Genomic DNA, 21746 nt, shown 5'->3' with positions numbered 1-21746 from the left:
CCCACCTATCACAGAGCATGACCACAGTAAGTGTTAAATAAGAGTTAGTTATAGATTTGAAAGTTTTCATGTTATAGGACCTCTAGGTGGTAGCTGACGCCAGAGATATACATGAGATAATCTAGACAAAGAGTATTGCTCTAGAGAGAGAGAGAGAACATGAGAAATAAGAAAGACAATGATGATTAAGATGATGAAATGAAGGCTGAGAAGGAGAATGAGAAATGAGTAGCAAAGAAGTAGGAATGGGCCGGGCGTGGTGGCTCATGCCTGTAATCCCAGCACTTTGGGAGGCCGAGGCAGGCAGATCACGAGGTCAGGGCTTCGAGACCAGTTTGGCCAACATGGTGAAACCCGGTCTCTACTAAAGGTACAAAAAATTAGCTGGGCGTGGTGGCAGGCGCCTGTAATCCCAGCTACTCTGGAGGCTGAGGCGGGAGAATTGCTTGAACCCGAGAGGCGGAGGTTGCAGTGAGCCGAGATCGCACCACCGCACTCCAGCCTGGGCGACAGAGCGAGACCCCATCTCAAAAAAAAAAAAAAAAGAAGTAGGAAGAACACGAGAAGAGAATGTAGTCGTGGCCTGGCACCGTGTCTCACGCCTGTAATCCCAACACTCTGGGAGGCTGAGGTGGGCAGATCATTTGAGGCCAGGAGTTCGAGGCTAGCCTGGCCAACATGATGAAAACACATCTCTACTAAAAATACTAAAATTAGCCAGGCATGGTGGTGCATGCCTGTGATCCCAGCTACTCAGGAGGCTGAGGTACAAGAATCACTTGAACCTGGGAGGTGGAGGTTGCAGTGAGCCGAAATCACACCACTGTACTCCAGCCTGGGTGACAGAGTGAGACTCTGTCTCAAAAAAGAAAAAAAAAAAAAAGAAGAGAATGTAGTCGCAAGCCAAAGAAGGAAATTAGAGACACCCAACAGGGTCACCCACAGCAAAGGGGACAGGATATGGACTGAAAAGTGCCACTAGATTTGGTCACTGAGTGAGAAAGATAATATTTGAGAAGAGATGGACTCCTTCTTTGTCAAACTAATGTACTTAAGAAGGTATTTTCCACCTTTACATTAATTCCTCTACCTATCCGTCCAGCAAAGATTCACTAAACATCTACTCTAGGCTGTGTACTGTGCTAGGCCCTAGGGAGACATGGTAGACCAAGGTCCTTTTGGGCCTATGGGCTCACTACACTTGCCTGCAAAGGAAAGTTACAATTCACCAGGGCTGGGTGTTTTACCAGACCTGATAATGACTGGCTCTCTGAATACATTCGATGAAACAAGAGCCAGTGTGCAAGTCTGGAGGTCAGTGAGACTTTATTATCTTGCTCTGAGCTGGCAGGAGGCAAAGGGAAAGTGTATGTAGAACATTATTATTGCATCACTGCTGTCTTCTTAAGTCAGTCACAGATGAGAGTCTGGGTTTTTCCAAGAAAATTGGTTCCATCTGCTCAAAGGCAGAAAAGTGATAGAGCAGTTCAATCAAAAGAGCATCCCCTTAAAATATTCTTTGAACTTGATCCTACTTTTTTTTCTGAAACAGAGTCTCGCTCTGTCACCCAGGCTGGAATGCACTGGCGTGATCTCAACTCACCGCAACCTCCGCCTCTCGGGATCAAGTGTTCTCCTGCCTCAGTCTCCCGAGTAGCTGGGATTACAGGCGCGTGCAACCACGCCCAGCTAATTTTTGTATTTTTACTAGGGACAGGGTTTCACTGTGTTGGCCAGGCTGGTTTCCAACTCCTGACGTCGGGTAATCCGCCCACCTCGGCCTCCCAAAGTGCTGGGATTGAAGGCGTAAGTCACCGCGCCTGGCCTTGACCCTAATTATTGACTAAACTATTGCTTCGCTAATTTTTTTTCCTGCCCTTCTGTTTTAACAGCAGTAAAACAGTGTGGTGAAATGTTCAAAAAATCAGTGAATCACAGCCTTCTGAAAATTAATGGGTGTCAGTGAGGTTTGGGAGTTGGATGGAGACAAAGGGAGCGACACCATAACTAACTGGAGATCTTACTAGGTTTTCATTTAATATTCATTTTTTACAATAGACATTGTTTGGAAAAAAGGGTTTAATTCAAAATGTCATTAAGGCACATTATCTTTAATGTTCTAGAAAAAGTTATTTAAAGAAATCCTGGCCATGAAATTAAAATAAATAAATAAATAAAACCAGGCATTCTTTGAAATGTGAATAATAATTTGCTAATTTATATTTAGGATTGTGGATATACTTTTTTTCTTTTACATGTATTCCTGGGGAGGTAAGTGATGCAAATATTTTCCCACTGCCTCAATCAGACTTTAGTTTTTGGGGTCTGGCCTGATATGATGGAATATAAACAGGAAATCAAGATCAGAAGAGCCTGTCCCTGAGAACACTCCTTCACGGGACTCTAGCTCACGCCTGGACCTTCCCAGTGCTTCCATCTGAAGCCCCTGGAGACCCAGGTGGGTTAAGTAGGGTGGCAGGGGGGATGGAGGGGGCGGGGGGCGCGGGGGCGTAAATCCTCCCCCACTGGGGAGGGTGACAGTAACAACTTCCAGATTGTTTACAAAGATACAGGCTCTGCTTCAGGCATTTGACGTGTATTAACTCGGGTAATCATCCCAGTAACTCATGAAATAGTTATATTATTATCTTCACTTCCCAGATAAGCAACGGAGTGAGAGAGATTATAGAAAGTGGAGAAGCGAGTACCTTACTAGTAGCCACTAGGGGTGTCAGTAATATGGCTCAACTTTGTTACGACGGATCAGAAAAATGCTCACCTTTAAGACCGCAAGCAGAGCCTGTCTGGGGAAGCAGGTGACTTATCAACGCCTTTTGAGATAAGGAATAGGACTGCGGGGAGGAGTGTGTGAGAATCAAAGGTGAGTTCCCTGTGTGCGTGGTCGGCGGTCAACTCCTAGCTAGTCCAAGCTTAGAGCCTGCGCATTTGCCCTCCCGGGTCAGAGCCCAAAGCCGAAGGAACAGAACCAGCGCCGGCGGCAGCCACGTGGCCCAGCCTCTGAGCCCTAGCTGCCATCGCGGAGGCTGGGCCCGAGGGGCGGGGCTGGGGAGTGCGGACACCCGGGCCTGGCGGAGTGCGCCTGCGCACGGGGTTGGCCCGGCGGGGGTGGGAACACTAGCAGAGCCGCGTTAAAGGCGCTCCCCGCCCCGCCCGCCGGTCCAGTGCTCGCAGTGCGCAGGCGTGGGGCTCTCTCCTTGTCAGTCGGCGCCGCGTGCGGGCTGGTGGCTCTGTGGCAGCGGCGGCGGCAGGACTCCGGCACTATGAGCGGCTTCAGCACCGAGGAGCGCGCCGCGCCCTTCTCCCTGGAGTACCGAGTCTTCCTCAGTGAGTGTCTGCGGCCCGTGGCCCCTCCGCGCCCGTCCGCCCATTCATTCCCGGGCCTTGCCTCCCCGGGAGGGTGCGGCCCGCGCTCGGCCCCAGGTCTCCGACGCGGGCCCGTCTCCTCGGGCGCGTTGTGGGGCCTGGCCGGCCTCACATTGCATACTTGCCGCCGCCGGTCGGGGCGGCGAGGGTCGCCTCCGGCCATCCCTCCCCGCTGAACGGAGATGGTCCCTTTGTCACGCCTCGGGGTACCCGAACCTGGGCCCAGCTAGTTTTGCAGGTGTCTGGCTCTGACAGGGTCTGTTGGGAAAAGGAAATCACCGACCCACCCTAGAAAGGTGCTTGGAAGTAACATAATTCCCGTAAGAGGATTGCTCAGTTTGGAGAAAAGGCGACTCCGGGCCGGGGGGGGCAGTGACTTCCTAAAGACCTTAATTCCGCCGCCGTAGCTCAGATTATCGGCGCTGAGCGGAGCCAAGTCCACCCCCTCGTTTTACAGACGGGAAAACTGAGGCCCGGATCGGGAGCCGTCTGTGAAGGCGCTGGACCGGTCCTCCGCGGCCCGGTCGTGCTCCTGCCTCTGCGCCGCCTGTTTTCCCTCAGCGCCGATGCTGGGAATGCTCCTTATGAAACAGAAAGCTGTTTCCCTCAAATCAAACAGATGACGTCAGTCTGGAAACAAGACTGAGAAAGTGCCAAGTTTTTACCTTTGCAGGATTCGGCGTCTAGGGGGTACCTACCCCGGGTCCTGCACCTAGGGCTGCACGGGGAAACCGGGAGGCTGCATGCTGGCGCCCTCCACGCTCCTTAGGGCACCACGTTTTTTTGGCCTTGTAGGTGGAGGAAAGCTACTTGGGGTTTTTCTTTATCCTCTTACTCCCCCCACCCCCAGCTACTAGGAGTAGATTATGGGCGATAACGGAGGCGTTCGTAAATGTGTCACCACAGGCGCTTCTATTGTAACCTCTTTACAGTTTTATTTGGAAGGAAATGGGCAGGTGCCTCGAACTCTGAGTTGGTGTATGAAGGAAGGGGAAGCGGGGAGTAGAGGAGACGAATGAATAGGCATTGAAGGAACAAAAAGTAGCCTGGTGCGGGAGGAAAAGGAAAGCGAACTGTAAAGCTTACACATCTAGCCAAAGGTTAACTATCAGGTAAAATCCAGGAAGGGTGAGAACTACCCCCCACTCTCCATTTTATTTAATTTTGCAATTAAGCAGCAAGGACAGTCCAGTAACTTTTGACTAATAATTCATGGGACTGTTTTTCTGGAAATAGTGTTGGCTCCAGAATTTCTCTGTAGGAAAGGCTTACAGAGGTGACTGTCTGGTTTGAAGGTGAGGGGTGGATCTTCAAGCTATATATGCAGAACAAACACACTGCTTTTACTTAGGTTATTTATTTGCAATTAATATTTGGTGGCCGTTATGGGAGACCAAAGCTACTCCTAGAATTTGGCACTAGCTGAAGTAACTGTTTTTATCAAGTGGAACTCTCTGGAACTTAAGAAATACTAATAATTAGAACCCACTACATAGTTATCCAATTTTAAGTGCTTTATCCTTCCTTAATAGAAATAAACTTTTTTAAGCTTTATAATATTACATTTGTCAATTTCTTTAAAACTGATAAAGGGCTGGACAGACTGCAAAGTCACAATTGGCCCTAAAGGGACTTTTATGTTTTATTGTTTGTTTTTTGAAACAAAGTCTCGCTCTGTTGCCCAGGCTGGAGTGCAGTGGCATGATCTTGGCTCATTGCAACTTCAGCCTCCCGGGTTCAAGTGATTCTCCTGCCTCAGCCTCCCAAGTAGCTGGGATTACAGGCACTTGCCACCATGCCTGACTAATTTTTGTATTTTTAGTAGAGACGGGGTTTCACCATGTTGGCCAGGCTGGTCTTGAACTCCTTACCTCCAGTGATCCACCTGCTTTGGCCTTCCAAAGTGCTGGGATTACAGGCGTGAGCCACCGTGCCTGGCCTCCACTTTGATTTTTAAACTTGAAGGGATGCGATGTGGACAGTAGGTTTCCTAAAGAATACTGAAGAAGTTTTAAAATTACTTTTTGGCTATAGTTAGGCCTCTAGAATATATTAGTAATATATATCTAGAATATAATAGAAATTATTTGTGAAGATGTTTGTTGCAACTTGATTATCCTTAAAGAAAGTCATAATCTAAGATGGCTGGCTGTCTCTGGGAACACCACTTTTAGCAACATTGTTTAGTAAAGTGGTCCCCTCCCTTCCTCCCAAGTACTTCATAATGGTTCTGTAAACTTAACTGATGTAAGATCAGTCCAAAACAATTTAATCGCCTTTTGTGTCCTCAGTAGTCTCTGCTCTCACTATAGAGATTAGTACTTATTAGATGCCTACAGAGTGCATAGGATGTAAACCCAGCCTAGCCTGGGAGTACAGTCAGGAGAAGTGAAGTATACAAACAGTTTTTCTAGTGTAAGAATAATATCTTGGTTTAAAAATGTGTACTGGTCGGGTGCAGGGTGCGGTGGCTCACCCCTGTAATTCCAGCCCTTTGGGAGGCTGAGGTGGGCAGACTGCTTTGAGCTCAGGAGTTGGAGACCAGCCTGGGGAACATGGCAACACCACCTCCCTACAAAAGACACAAAAATTAGCCAGACGTAGTGGCTCATGCCTGTAGTTCCAGCGGCTCAGGAGGCTGAGGCTGGAGGATCACTTGAGCCTTCAAGAGGGAAACAGAAGTGGCAGTGAGCCAAGATCACACCATTGCACACCATCCTGGGTGACAGAGTAAGGGACCTTATCTCAGAAAAAAAAAATGTGTACTGTGGGCATTTAGCAATACAATTAATTATAGTAATAACTTTTTCTAATTTATTTTGCAGAAAATGAGAAAGGACAATATATATCTCCATTTCATGATATTCCAATTTATGCAGATAAGGTAAGGCATCCTTGTTTTTGGACACAGTCTCTTTACTCAGATCAGCTAGTTCTACATATGAATTTTCTTATATGTCTCTCAACAAGTGCTTAAAATGCCTCGTTGTGCTGTGAGCTAAAGGTCTGTTGATTAGGCTGGGCGTGGTGGCTCACGCCTGTAATCCCAGCACTTTGGGAGGCTGAGGCGGGTGGAGGGCTTGAGTCCAGAAGTTCAAGAACAGCCTGGGCAACATGGTGAAACCCTGTCTCTACAAAAAATACAAAAATTAGCCGGGCATGGTGGCATGTGTCTGTAGTCTCAGCTACTTGGAAGGCTGAGGTGAGAGGATCGCTTGTGCCTGGGAGGCAGAGGTTGCAGTGAGCCGAGATGGCACTACTGTACTCCAGCTGGGTGACAGAGTGAGACCCTGTCTCAAAAAAAAAGGTCCATTGACTAAATAAGAAGTTAGTCTTAAAACTAGATTATTTAGTTAAAGGAGCAAATATAATTTGGGGAAGGAGAGGAGGAGTAAAAGCAAAAGTATTTAATCTGTCTTGGAAAAAAAAAAGAAAAAATTACATTGGTCCTTTTTGTATGTGTATTTGGAACTAAAGTCGTAATACTTCATTACTGGTTCTAAAATAAACCAGGTAGCCAGCACAGAATTTTGGCTGTGGGATCTTTATGAAACAGTAAAAGTAAACTAGATTATTCAATGAGTATAGGAAAATTTAGTAACGGGCTAGTACCGTTAAGATTTGCACAGTTAAGATAGAGTTAATACAGGTAGGCACACAGACTTCTAAAAGGACATAGCTGTTCCTGTATACACCAGTGAGAAGAAACCTAACTTTAATACAGATTGGTAGGCTTACCACAAATTGTAAAAGTCTTTACTTTTCTAGGGGAAAAAGAAGTCTACAACTGTATACACCAGAATAGCTGAGTGTGGGGCAATTGTAATCCCACTTGGGAGGCTGTGCTGGGAGGATCACTTGAGTCCAGGAGTTTGAGACCAGACTGGGCAACATAGCAAGAACCTGTCTTAGGAAAATAAATAACAATAAAATATATATCAAAATAGTTATGATTCGTGGGACTGCCAGTGACTCTTGGTTTTATTTTCATTTTTGTCTTTTTATATTGTCTAATCTTTTTACAAAGAACATGTGTTATAAGAACAACTTTAAACAGTCATTTTAAAAAACACATCTTTTCTTACTCTCCTTTCCAATGGAAGCAGTTTGTACTGTATTTAGCAACTTAACACAAGGACAAATATCTTATTCTTTTTCTACCTTTCAGTTTTTTTCCTTCAGTAAGGAAGTTTGATTCACATTGAGTACAAAGGTTTTTGAGTTGTAAGAGTTACATAGGTTATTGACTTTCTTTAGCTAGATGTCAATATACAACACGAACATCACTTTGCAGTGCACGTCTAGAATAATAGTAATTTTGTTCTTGTGTGTGCTGTCTTACTGTTTTTCTGGGCCTGACTATTAGATAGAAATAGACACATTCATTGCACTTCTACCAGGAAGTTTGCTGCAGTTCTGTACTGCCTGAAATTCCAATTTTTACATTGCTTCCCAGGAGCCTTCCTGGGTAAGACTCCAATTAGAGGCAATGGAGCAAACAGCCCTAGGCCAATTATGTGCCACAAATACAGGAGGGACTTCTAATTGGCATGTGTTTTTCCTGTGGGAGTGTCAGAGTGGTATTTATTCAGAAACTCGAATTTGTTACATCTGATTTCCTGGGAGTTGATATAAACTGCAGAATCCTTCCCTCTTCAATTGGCCCCATTGGGTTGGCTTGAATTATCTGCTTGTTGTATAATAGCATGTATATCATACTGTAGCATCTCAGACCATTTTGAGCAATGAAGAGGTATAAAATGATGACCCTAAGTTTATTGATAATACCCTGGCATACAGGTATGCTACAGGTAGGAAAACATTTTCTTGACATAGAGCTATTTTCCCAGTGTTCTAAGTGACTGTATTCCTACCAAGGACCAGAATGATCATAGATGTTTTGGTACCTACTCTTATTGCTGCTTCAGGTTACTCCAAAATAGGAAACAGGCTACATTTTGGTGTCCTGTTAAGTGTGTTCACTTAGATTACTCTCAGACACTGAAGCCTTATAAGGGACTGGTTGTGTCTATAAAGTGGATTACTCAAAGGAAGACTCTGCCCTTGGCACGCCCTGTCCCAGCTCAAAAGCACAAGTTCTTATGACTCTGGATTTTACCAGTAGTCTAGACCTCAGTGGACCTTGGGCAGAAGCCTTCCTGCCTGAGAGGCTGGAAGGAATTCTTTTGTTTTGTTTTAAAGGAAGTTACTTGTTTAAAACACAAATAAAGGTGTGGTAGACATCATTTTGGATTATAGCCTTAAAAAAAAAATCTGATTAACTTGATTCATTAGAGTGTGATTTTCTTTCTTTTGTATAAAAAATCTATTGTGATTAAGTTTACATGAATACATTCTCACGGGCTTGGCCTTGGACTTTATTCCTAATATGGTCAGTCATCCGAGGGATTATAATGAGGGAATGTCATGATCTAGTGAGCATGTACCTTTAACACAGCTCAGTCAGCTCCACTAAGGAAAAATGTCCAAGGGCTCATATTGATATCAGACTAAGGAAAAATGCCCAAGGGCTCATATCCATATCAGACTTTTTTTTTTTTTTTTTTTTTTTTTGAGATAGGGTTTCACTTTGTCACTCAGGCTGGTGTGCAGTGGCATGATCTTGGCTTACTGCAGCTTCAACCTCTCAGGCACAAGTGATCCTCCTGCTCCAGCCTCCTGAATAGCTGGAACCACAGGCATACACCACCACGCCCAGCTAATTTTTCTATTTTTTTGTAGAGACAGGGTTTCCCTATGTTGCCCAGGCTGGTCTCGAACTCCTGGTTTCAAGCGATCTGCCCACCTCAGCCTCCAGAAGTGCTGGGGTTGCAGGCGTGAGCCACTGTGTCCAACCCATATCAGGACCTTTTAATGTGGATATTCAGTTTGGCATATGCCATTAGGTAATCAGTCCAGCCAGTTCTGGAAAATCTTGTGACTCGCGTACCCTGCTTTGATTATTTCCGAATCCAGTGGGTAGAGAAGGTAAAGGCAAGGGCTCACTGGATATTTTTAAATTGTAGGGATGTCCTTTGCTCTGGGTCAATTTTAGGATCAAATATAAAAGCACCTATAGCTCAGAGTATCTTCTAACATAAAACTTCTGAGATACCAGAAATTTTCCAAAACATGGTATAAACAGTATGAAACACTGGGTAGATAAAAGCTTTCTCTAAATCTTAAAGTGCTCAAATATCATGACCTGATTTTTTAGTTTTAGAAATCAGATATTTTTCTATTCCATATCTTAAACTTTCATGTTAAATTCTAGTTCTGACAATGTAGGGTTCTATTTTTTTCAGGTGATTGTTGGGAGCGTATAGAAGCATATATAAATATGGAATATGTGTTTCTTTTTTCCCCTTCTGAAAGAAAGTCAAGCCTCTAATCAAATAGATTGATGCTTCAGAAACTTAACAGAATATTATCTGCAATTTGGCATAAATGCATTTTTCTTGGGGAAGTTTCCACGCTCAAAATTATTAGTCATTGCAAAACAGAAAAGTTTGACAACTGGAAATGCAGACCCTTTTGCTTGATTTTGTAAAGACAGGAAAATAAACAGATTATGCTTAGAATATCTGTTTTCAAAATTTAGTCATCATAAAGCTTATCTGAAAAGAAAAAATAGCAAAAATAGCAGCTTTTTCTTTCTTTTTCTTTTTTTTTTTAAGACAGGGTCTCACTCTGTCACCCATGCAGTGCTGTGATCTTGGCTCACTGCAGGCTCCATCTCCTGGGCTCGAGCAATCCTCCCACCTCAGTCTCCTGAGTAGCTGGGACTACAGGCACACACCACCGTACCTGGCTAATTTTTTTGTATTGGTAGAGACAGGCTTTCGCTGGTCTCGAACTCCTGAGCTCAAACAGTCCACCCACCTCAGCTCCCAAAGTGCTGGGATTACAGGTGTGCGCTCCCACACCCAGCCAGCAGCTTATTCTTAATTATGACATGACAAATTAAGTTATTGCTCTACACAGGTACATATGGTAGTGTGTAGTAGCAAATACAGGCATTTGTTTGAGCTGCAATGAGTAGAAAATCTATGTAACTGGAAAACAAATGAGTATTACTAAAAGTTTTGTGTGTATGTGTTTTAATTTCTTTACTTTAATAAGTTAATGATCTCCCTTGGAATCTTAACACAATTTGTTGAACAAATGTTTTTTGGGTTGGTGTAAGTCATGTCTTTCTTTGCTAAGTCACAATTCTAAGTGAATAAGGGGCACAACAGTGTGAACTTCGGTCATCGTATTTCTTTCTGATAGCTTCTCAAATAGACTTCTGTCACTTTCGATGAAATACTTCAGGTATCCATATACTTTTAACAACTTAGAGTATATCCTTCTAGAATCATATAACCAACTTTACAGCCAAAACTTAGAATTAAGAGCCATTGTCATTTGGTGAGCAGTGAATAAGATAAAGTATTCTTGGAAATGGTGAAATCTGGTATACCTTTTCGAAAGCATCTTTATGGGGATGGAACATTTTCTTTTAACTACGTGAGCTCTTCTGATAGGGATTTTATACTCCAAAACTAGTCTATAAGTTCCAAAAAAAAAAAAAAAGTTAAAGCTTGGTTTGGATTAGTTTCTTGCTTTATGTTTATGCTCTAGATAAATTTAGAAGAAAATTCTCTCTACCTCTACTGTTTTTTCTCCAAATTTTATTGCAAAACAATAAAGATTAAAAAATGGGGGGTGGGCTGGGTGCCGTGGCTTATGCCCGTAATTCTAGCACTCTGGGCAGCCTAGGTGGACGAATTGCTTGAGCTCAGGAGTTCATGACCAGCCTCAGCAACATGGTGAAACCCGGTCTTTACCAAAAATAGAAAAAAAAAAATTAGCTGGGTGTGGTGGCAGGTGCCTGTGGTCCAGGAGGCAGAGGTAGGAGGATCACTTGAGCCCCGGAGACGGAGGTTGCAGTGAGCTGAGATCATGCCACTGCACTTCAGCCTGGGTGACAGGTGAGACTCTGTCTCTAAATAAATAAATAAATAAATAAGAGTGGTGGGACCACAGGGTGATTTTTGTGTTTCTTTCTAAGCCTGGTATTTACTAGATTTCTGAAGTTATCTAGAGAAACACACAATGAGTCAACTTGAAAATGCTAATGTCAGCCACTTGGTATAATTCTGTAGTATAGTTCATCGAATTTACCAAATCCAGGGTTAGAAATAAATCTCAATGCTGGGCGCGGTGGCTCATGCCTGTAATCCCAACACTTTGGGGGGCCAAGGTGGGCGGATCACCTGAGGTCGGGAGCTCGAGACCAGCCTGACCAACATGGAGAAACCCTGTCTCTACTAAAAATACAAAAATTAGCTGGGCATGGTGGTGCATGCCTGTAATCCCAGCTACTCGGGAGGCTGAGGCAGGAGAATTGCTTGAACCCGGGAGACGGAGGTTGCAGTGAGCCGAGATTGCACCATTGTGCTCCAGCCTGGGTAACAAGAGCGAAACTCTGTCTCAAAAAATAAAATAAAATAAATAAATAAGAAATAAGTCTCAATAAAGACACATTGAACTTAACTGCTAGGATTTAAAGACGTGCTGTAATTAAATTAAGAGCATGTTCCCTATATATGTACTTAACTGCATTAGTAATAACAGCCTACCAAATGGCCGTAGCCTATTTATTAGTAAACAACTTGTCAGACTACTGACTTGGTCCATAAGACCCTAACCAGTTTGGAGATGAGACGGGGCCTCACCATACTACTGTGATTAATATTCCTGTTTAATTAGTGAAGTTACACACCTAACCAAGATATAGGAGATATTTCTTCTATTCCTGAAACATTTTTATTTTAAATATTTTTGATTAATGGAGTGACATAATGTAGAGTTGTTGAGTTTCCAGTTTCCTTAGAATCTGGACATCTTTAATGTTTTGTTGTAACATCTTGACTACTTGATAAAATGATTGTAAATCTGGGAAGGGAAATAGACTTTTTTTTTTTTTTTTTTTTGTAGAGACAGGGTCTGTCTATGTTGCTCAGGCTGGTCTTGAACTCCTAGTCTAAGCAATCCTCTTGCCTCAGCCTCCCAAAGTGCTAGGTTTACAGGCACGAGCCACCATACCTGGCCTGAAATAGACAGTTATATTTCTGACTTTGGGAACAAGAGCTAAAGTTATAGTTTGCCTTTTCCCTTATCCCCCACTGGTTTATCAGCAAGGTAATTATTGAGTTTATCAAAATCATCCCTCTAGGGAGACTTAACTTCCTTCTTTTCTGAAACTGTTAACAGAGAGCTGAGAGCTCTGATGCCAGAGCAATGACTGAGACTCCAAAGCATGGTAGGATTGGAGGATGGAGTTCTGGGAAGTCCTAACAGTGGGAGTAACAAGATAGTAAATCCAAGATCCAGCTAAGTAAAAGCTGAAACCAGTTGGGATTAAAGAAGAAGGAATGAATTTGTAACTGGGTAGTACGAAATTTCTTAAAATCAGTATTTTTTAAGTGCGTGAATATTGGAATCATTAGAATGCATAAAAACAGTAATAGTTTTTATAGCAACTCTGTTGCTATAAAATTCATTGAATTTCTCATATCAGTTGCCCTGAAAAATCCTAAATATCACTGTTGTTCACCTAGTAGCAACTCTTTGAATTGTAGCCAGATGTCTAGAAGAAGGTTGTTCTTTAGTAGTAATTCCTGCTAAAGTATGTGGAACACCCCCTCCTTACAAGTACAGAGCTGGGCAGGATGGCTTGCACCTGTAGTCCCAGCTACTAGGGATGCATAGGCAGGAGGATCACTTGAGGCTAGGAATTAGAGACCAGCCTGCTCAACATAGTGTGACTTCATCTCCAAAAACATAATTAAAAAACAATTAGCCAGGTGTGGTGGTGCACACCTGTAGGCCCAGCTACTTAGGAGGCTGAGGCAGGAGGATTGCTTGAGACCAGGAGTTGGAGGCTGCAGTGAGCTATGATTGCGTCACTGTACTCCAGTCTGGATGACAGAGTGAGACCCCGTCTCTCTCTCTCTCTCTCTTTAAAAAAATGTTTTTTAAGAGACAGGGTCTTGCTATGTTGGTCAGGTTGGTCTTGAACTCTTGGCCTCAAGCGGTCCTCCTGCCTCTGCCTCCCAAAGTGCTAGGATTATAGACGTTAGTCGCCACGCCTGGCTGAGACAAGTATTACTACAGCATCTACATGCATTTGAAAGTGTGCTAGTATTCCATGCATAAAAAATGATGAGTTCATGTCCTTTGTAGGGACATGGATGAAGCTGGAAACCATCATTCTCAGCAAACTGTTGCAAGGACAAAAAACCAAACACCGCATTTCTCACTCATAGGTGGGAATTGAACAATGAGAACACGTGGACACAGGAAGGGGAACATCACACACCGGGGCCTGTTGTGGGGTGGGGGGAGGGGGAAAGGATAGTATTAGGAGATATACCTAATGCTAAATGATGAGTTAATGGGTGCAGCACACCAACATGCAACATGGCACATGTATACATATGTAACAAACCTGCACTTTGTGCACATATACCCTAAAACTTAAAGTATAATAATAAAAAAAAAGTGTGCTAAACATTGATTTTACAGATGAGTCACTCACCCCAAGCTGTAGCCTGAGGCCTACAAACTGGAAGTACCTGATTTAGCAGGCGAGAATTCTACCCCTGAACCACCAATGCTACCAGCAGGAAGTACCTGATTTGGAAATCCAACTCTTTGGGAGTTAAAAGAACTTTTATTTTGTTCATTGCTAGTCTTCGGAGCCTAGAAAAGTGCCTGGCACATCCTGGTGGTTCACAACAAATATTTGTTGAAAAAAATCAATGAATTGACTCTGGCTTTTGCAGGTACTCCTTGTTGTTTTTCGCCCAGCTAATTTCTTTTTTTTTTTTTTTTTTTTTTTTGAGACGGAGTCTTGCTCTGTGGCCCAGGCTGGAGTGCAGTGGTGTGATCTCAGTTCACTGCAACCTCCGCCTCCCAGGTTCACGCCATTCTCCTGCCTCAGCCTCCCGAGTAGCTGGGACTACAGGCACCTGCCACCACGCCCAGCTAATTTTTTTGTATTTTTAGTAGACACGGTTTTTCACTGTGTTAGCCAGGATGGTCTCGATCTCCTGACCTCATAATCCGCCCACCTCGGCCTCCCAAAGTGCTATGATTACAGGTGTGAGCCACCACCCCCCGGCCTCACCCAGCTAATTTCTAAAAAGCACCAGACCTTCAAGCTTTTGTTCGCAGCAGAATTCTCTTACCATTTTCTGAAGGATGTTTTCTTCCTTGTTATTTTTTTCCTTCCCATTAATTATGTAGATTTATGTTATTAGGTAATACTGTTTTGAGGATCTATACATATTTGTCATTTACTGCTATTAAAGTGTTCAATATAGTTTCTAAACTTTGAATTAGTTATTTTAGCTCTATCTGCTATATCTTTCTTGAAGCAATGTATTCATTTGGTGGTGTTTTAACGAAATTAACAGCTAATCTTGGCGAGCTCTTCAGTTGATCTTTCATGTCGTAACAGCTCCATCTTGTGAATCTTTAGGGTACTGCTGCTGGAAACCGAAAGCCCTGACTTGTTCTTTTCACAGACCTACAGATCTCTCGTTTTTACACCTGAGAAGTGGACAAAATACTTGAAAACCTAGTGGACAAGGTGAAATTTAGTCAAAGATTGGTTCTGAGGTTTTCTACCCAGGATTAATAATTAGTGTTACATTTTCTAAACCATCTGGTTATTTTAGAGGGAAACAGGGATAGAGCAGTTTCTTCAGTCCTAGATTTAAGTAATATCTCCATTCTTTTGGTTTTTATGTTGTATTGGGTAAGTGAGGTATCAGGAGGCTTGGAGCAGAAACCTATGGATGCTTTAGTCTCCCATGGTTTCAGCAGGAACTTAAAATGACAGAAGTTCTACACTTTTGAATCAAAATCAGTGTAGTTTTTCTGCTTGGTAGCAGCAGGTAATTATTGACTTGAAACCTTTGACTTATTCCCTTGTGGCTTATCAGTTCCCGTTTTTTGATGGAAAGTAGCAAAGAAGTAATTCTAAAGAGTGGTGTAACCAAGTGATTTTCATTTTAAGTTAAGTTCTTAAAATGTACTTTACCAGTCTGGGGTAACATGGCAAAGCTCCATCTCTACAAAAAAAAAAAAAAAAAAATATATATATATATATATAAATTATATATATATATAATTTATATATATATTATATATATAAATTATATATATGTTATATATATAAATTATATATATAGTATATATATAAAAATTATATATATTATATATAAATTATATATATAGTATATATAAAAATTATATATATTATATATAAATTATATATATAGTATATATAAAGTATATATTATATATATAAGAATTATATATATAATATATATAAAAATTATATATATAATATATATAAAAATTATATATATTATATATATATAAATTATATATATTATATATATATAAATTATATATATTATATATATATAAATTATATATATTATATATATAAATTATATATATTATATATATATAAATTATATATATTATATATATATAAATTATATATAATATATATATAAATTATATATATTATATATATATAAATTATATATAATATATATATAAATTATATATAATATATAATTATATATATTATATATATAATTATATATATATTATACATAAAAATTATATATAATACATATATAATTTATATATATAAAATTATATAATATATATAAAAATTATATATATATGCACATACACGCACACACACACACATATATACATATACACACACACACAATTAGCTGGATGTGGTGGCATGCATCTGTAGCTCCAGCTACTCAGGAGGCTGAGATGGGAAGATTGCTTGAGCCAGGGTGGTTGAGGCTTCAGTGAGTCAAGCTCATACCACTGCACTCCAGCCTAGGTGGCAGAGTGAGACCTTGTCTCAAAAAAAAAAAAAAAAAGTACTTTTTATAAGCATAATTGCAGGCCAGGTGCGGTGGCTTACACCTGTAATCCCAGCACTTTGGGAGGCTGAGGCGGGTGGATCACCTGAGGTCAGGAGTTTGAGACCAGCCTGGCCAACATGGCGAAACTCCATCTCTACTAAAAATACAAAAATTAGCCAGGTGTAGTGGCACGCCCCTGTGTTATCCCAGCTACTCAGGAGGCTGAGACAGTAGAATCACTTGAACTCAGGAGGCAGAGGTTGCAGTGAGCCAAGATTGTGCCACTGCACTCCAGCCTGGGTGACAGAAAACAGTAATTGCAGATTTAGCTTCATCTGTGCCCTTTGTAGAGGCTAAAAACTGAAAAACTGCAGTTAAAGTTCTATTCCGTGAAAAAAAATAGTATTCTGAATAATTAAAGCTCAAGTTTAATTAAATAACCTATGGCATATTTAACTCCAGTGTGCAAAATGGGTTGGCAAAGTATGGTTTGTTTTTTCATTGTGTTTTTAAACTGCACATCTGGGAATTTACTCCCTGAATATATCATCTATTTTATAGTAGTCAGTTTAAGGCTATAAGCCAATTACAGTAGAACTATCATTGATTAAAATATTTTTAAAGCATATTCTCTTATCTTCAAGGTCAAAGTCCTTTTCAGGGGGGCTTTATTTCTAAAAACAGCCGAATTGGGAGAATAATGTGGATAATGAAGCTGATGAGTTTTGTTTGATGCTAAAACTAAAGTATGACCAAGTAATTAGGCTGATGTGGGGTTCGTCTTATAAACTAAAGTATGATCAAGTAATTAGTCTGACTTGGGGTTTGTCTTATAAACTGTCTCTGAAATAGAAGCTCCAAAAACATTTTGAGTAATTGCAGTGTCTCTGAAGGAAATAACACTGGCCTTTGGAGAGTGTTTTGAAGATGGTCTTCTTCAGAGATACAGGTTCTGTTACGTTTATTTAAGAACTGTTTCCTTCCTAGGAACATTCTTTCCACTGTCAGCTTTTATTCTGAAACACTTAAAGCATACAGAAAAGTTAAAAGATTTATATAGTAAGTTGGCTGGGCAAGATGGCTCACACCTGTAATCCTAGCACTTTGGGAGGTGGAGGCAGGAGGATCACTTGAGGCCAGGAGTTTGAGACCAGCCTGGGCAACACAGTAAGACCTTGCCTCTATAAAAAATTTAGAAGTAAATAAAAATTAAGAAGAACTATACCGTAAGCAATCATATACTGACCACCTTGATTCTATAATGAATATTTTCCTATAATTGCATTATTTCTTCATCCATCATTCTCTTTTTTTGATGCATTTTGTTGAAAATCCAATTGACTTCAAAGATCTGATACAATGAACAGTTTGACTTTGGAAGAAATAGTGCATGCTCCCTCAGAGAACAAATTGGCTCCTGTGACCATCTCACTTTCTCTTTGTTTTTTCAGGATGTGTTTCACATGGTAGTTGAAGTACCACGCTGGTCTAATGCAAAAATGGAGGTAATATTTCACCTTACATTTGAGTCAGACTTAGGATATTGGTTTTGATCTAGTCACACTGACTTGATCAAGGATGAACCATCTGAACGTCAAGGTTTTTCTCTGTCTGGTCCCAGTCTATTTTCTAGTTGTATCTCCCATTGCCTACTAGTCTTCCCTTTGGGCTCCAGCTAAACTCAACTGTTTACAAATATGCCCCAAACTTTTCTTCCCAACATCTTTGCTTCCAATGTTCCCAAAGCCTAGAATTACTTTTTCTCCTCTTACTCTCTGTAAGCCCTTCACTGACCCCTCCTTAGTCACCCCAGCCACAGATACTCTCATTGGAATTTCAGTTGCATGGTGTTAGTTTCTTTCTGATGATACCTACCATCATTGCCTTTTTGTTATGGATATTTATAACATATTTTATATCACAAACTCTTAACAGTAATCACTTTTTTTGTGTAATAAATACCCAAGTATTTGAATAATTTTAAATTCTGTGAAGGAAAACTAAAATTGGATAATATTTATTTTGCCCTTTTAATAAAAATTGTGGTATTTTTATTACTCAAACATTAGAATTTATTCCAGCTAATTTTAGTCTTTGCTTTCTAGAATTAGTAAATGTTCTTTTTCCCTTCTTGATAGTTCCTTTATACCTCACATAACCTTTCACTTAATGGCCGATTATGGAAACACCTTAGTTCAATTATAAAAGTGTTAGGGATAAAATATATCATTAAAGTGGAATTAGGGAACATAGGTACCATAATTCATTTCCTCAGATCCTTATTTGAATAGTATTTCACATCCAAATATGCAAAGATTTGAAATTTTCTTATTTCAGATTGCTACAAAGGACCCTTTAAACCCTATTAAACAAGATGTGAAAAAAGGAAAACTTCGCTATGTTGCGAATTTGTTCCCGTATAAAGGATATATCTGGAACTATGGTGCCATCCCTCAGGTATGTCTTCATGCAACTGCTGACAATGTACTTTTTAGCTTACTAAATATTAATTTACTGCTATTAGTAAAAAAGGTTTGAATACCTGTGGAGAGTTTTTTCTATGGTAGATTTTGAAAACATAAGAAGGGATAATTAACTCAGAATGCTTCCTTAAATAACTTATTTTCAAGATAAACTAAATATTTACAATGTTTAAATTCAGATTTGAACGTTTATTCTTTCCTGAAATATTTCTTCTTTTTTGGACTGGTTATAAGCTATATAAATTCTCTACAGACTGAGTTGCAAGTCTGTTCAGTCAAGAAAGAGTGTATGGTAGTAGTCAAAAGCACTGATTTTTGGCACCAGACAGACCAGAGTTCAAATCCCAAGATGGCCAATTCCTAGCTTACCTAACTTGCCTCCCTTTCTTTCTCCTTGAGACGTCCATATCGCCTCCCTGAGCTATTCACAGTATGTAGGTGGTATGGTTATTTCAAAAAATAAAGCACTTAATACCTGCACACAACAAGCTGTCATAGCTGCTGACTTTATGTTTAGAGTTTTGATTCCCTCTTCTTCAGGTCAAGCTCTTTGTGGTAAAGTAATGAGAGGATCATGTTTTCTTAAGTAGTCAACCTTTTTTTTTTTTAATTAAAAAAATTTTTTTTTGAGATGGAGTCTTGCTTTGTCACCCGGGCTGGAGTGCAGTGGCGTGATCTCGGCTCACTGCAAAAGCTCCGTCTCCCAGGTTCACGCCATTCTCCTGCCTCAGCCTCCCAAGTAGCTGGGACTACAGGTGTCCACCACCTAATTTTTTGCAGTTTAGTGGAGACGGGGTTCACTGTGTTAGCCAGATGGTCTCGATCTCCTGACCTGTGATCCGCCTGCCTTGGCCTCCCAAAGTGCTGGGATTACAGGTGTGAGCCACCATGTCTGGCCTAATAGTCAACCTTTTGAGAAGGGTTGTTTACCAATTTATTCCCAGCACAATGTCAGTATGTAGTAGGTTCTTATTTGATATTTGAAGAATCACTAGGATCTTATCTATAATGAGTAAATGACATCTATTTAATTCTATTTTGGCTAGGCCAGTGCTGTGGCACTTAAAATTTAATGCTGAGACACTAACTAAATATTCAGTTTAATTTTTTTGCTGTTGATAAATGGTTTGTTTTTATTAACAATGAAGTCTGTTAAATGGAACGTACTATGAAACAACCCATAAGATAGTAGAACATAGGTCTGACCCATCTAGCTTGTTAGGTAAGCACAAAGTCATTTGTTTGTCTTAATTACAGTGTTTCACCTTATACTTTAATTGAAATTTTTTTTTTTTTTTTGAGACGGAGTCTTGCACTGTCGCCCGGGCTGGAGTGCGGTGGCGCAGTCTTGGCTCACTGCATCTTCTGCCTCTCAGGTTCGAGTGATTCTCTTGTCTCAGCCTCTTGTGTAGCTGGGATTACAGGCGCCTACCACCACGCCCAGCTAATTTTTTGTATTTTTATTAGAGACAGGGTTTCACTGTATTGGCCAGGCTGGTCTCAAACTCCTGACCTTGTGATCTGCCTGCCTCGGCCTTGCAAAGTGCTGGGATTACAGGCATGAGCCACCACGCCCGGCCTCAATTGATTTATTAATAGTATTTAGCCTTGATATATCATCCTTGTAGGAGAACATTGCTGAAATACTTACTCTTCTGTGGGTTGGATTTTGCTTTCTTAATGTTGGATTTGTTAGATGTGGTCTTCCTTTATCCCCCTTCTCATTTATCTTTTTGCCTTTACTCCAGCTGAGTAGACAAACAAATCTGAGTAACGTGTTCTAGTTGGAGGAAAAAAGAACCAATGCAACAGCTACATTTTAAACCTAACATCCTGGCTAGCACAGGCTTTCAGTTCTTTTGTGAGATGTTCTGCAAGGACTCTGGCTTACAATTTAGGAAGGAAAGAAAACCAGTCATGTAAAGCTCCAGAAAATTCTGATTAAACTTTTCAGTCCGGGCTCCTGGTCAGTGATGATACTTTTAACATCAGAACATAACCTTTTGGCTGGGTGTGGTGGCTCATGCCTGTAATCCCAGCACTTTGGGAGGGCAAGGTGGGAGGATCACCTGAGGTCAGGAGTTCGAGACCAGTCTGGCCAACATGGTGAAACCCCATCTCTACTAAAAATACAAAAATTAGCTAGGCATGGTGGCATACACCTGTAATCCCAGCAACTCAGGAGGCTGAGACAGGAGAATTGCTTGAACATGGGAGGCAGAGGTTGCAGTGAGCCAAGATTGCGCCACTGCACTCCATCCAGTCTGGGCGACAGAGCAAGACTCTGTCGCAAAAAAAGAAAAAAAGAAAAAAAAGGAAGAAGAAAAACAACCTTTCCATTTTACTATTATTGCCTATCTACTTCTGTTTTGGGAATTTATTATAAAGAAAATCTAAGACCAGGTACAGTGGCTTATGCTTATAATCCCATACTTTGGGAGGCCAAGGTGGGAGGATCACTTGAGCCCAGGAGTTTGAGACCAGCCTGGGCAACATAGTGAGACCCTGTCTCTACAAAAAAGAAAAAGAAAAAAACCACACATTTTTGTTTGTTTTGTTTTCTTTTTTTGTTTGTTTTGTTTTGTTTTTTTGAGATTGAGCCTTGCTCTGTTGCCCAGGCTGGAGTGCAGTGGCATGATCTAGGCTCACTGCAACCTCTGCTTCCTGGGTTCAAGCGATTCTCCTGCCTCAGCCTCCCAAGTAGCTGGGATTACAGGCATGCACCACCACGCCTGGCTCATTTTTGTATTTTTAGTAGATACAGTGTTTCACCATGTTGGCTAGGCTGGTCTCAAACTCCTGACCTCAGGTGATCCACTCTCCTCAGCCTCCCAAAGTGCTGGAATTACAGGCATGAGCCATCATACCCAGCCTAAAACCACACATCTTTAAAGTAAACGTTTGGGTCTATATTTGTGTTTCC

General features: G+C 41.1%; 1 protein-coding gene across 1 annotated transcript in view, besides 3 other annotated features; it reads left to right on the top strand.

The window, feature by feature from the left end:
- Window positions 2969-3538: a silencer, noted in NCBI's record as "silent region_2443". NCBI's record gives its function as "represses an Ori minimal core promoter by ATAC-STARR-seq in GM12878 lymphoblastoid cells {active_cell/tissue: GM12878}" and the evidence as "EXISTENCE:reporter gene assay evidence [ECO:0000049][PMID:35858748]".
- Window positions 3180-21746, top strand: part of PPA1 (inorganic pyrophosphatase 1) — a 30595-nt gene continuing 12028 nt past the window's right edge. Inside the window, exons 1-4 of the mRNA NM_021129.4 lie at window positions 3180-3345; window positions 6210-6268; window positions 17792-17845; window positions 18678-18797. Coding sequence (NP_066952.1) covers window positions 3282-3345; window positions 6210-6268; window positions 17792-17845; window positions 18678-18797 — 297 coding nt within the window. The 5' untranslated portion in view covers window positions 3180-3281. The remainder of the gene's footprint in view (window positions 3346-6209; window positions 6269-17791; window positions 17846-18677; window positions 18798-21746) is intronic.
- Window positions 13868-14368: an enhancer, noted in NCBI's record as "H3K4me1 hESC enhancer chr10:71981997-71982497 (GRCh37/hg19 assembly coordinates)". NCBI's record gives its function as "activates a minimal SCP1, AML or CMV promoter by ChIP-STARR-seq in primed H9 embryonic stem cells {active_cell/tissue: H9 hESC(primed)}" and the evidence as "EXISTENCE:reporter gene assay evidence [ECO:0000049][PMID:30033119]".
- Window positions 14369-14869: an enhancer, noted in NCBI's record as "H3K4me1 hESC enhancer chr10:71981496-71981996 (GRCh37/hg19 assembly coordinates)". NCBI's record gives its function as "activates a minimal SCP1, AML or CMV promoter by ChIP-STARR-seq in naive H9 embryonic stem cells {active_cell/tissue: H9 hESC(naive)}" and the evidence as "EXISTENCE:reporter gene assay evidence [ECO:0000049][PMID:30033119]".

The sequence above is a fragment of the Homo sapiens genome, chromosome 10 (genome assembly GCF_000001405.40).
Source record: "Homo sapiens chromosome 10, GRCh38.p14 Primary Assembly".
Classification (NCBI taxonomy): Eukaryota; Metazoa; Chordata; class Mammalia; order Primates; family Hominidae; genus Homo; species Homo sapiens.
This window is presented reverse-complemented; position numbering and strand designations above follow the sequence as displayed.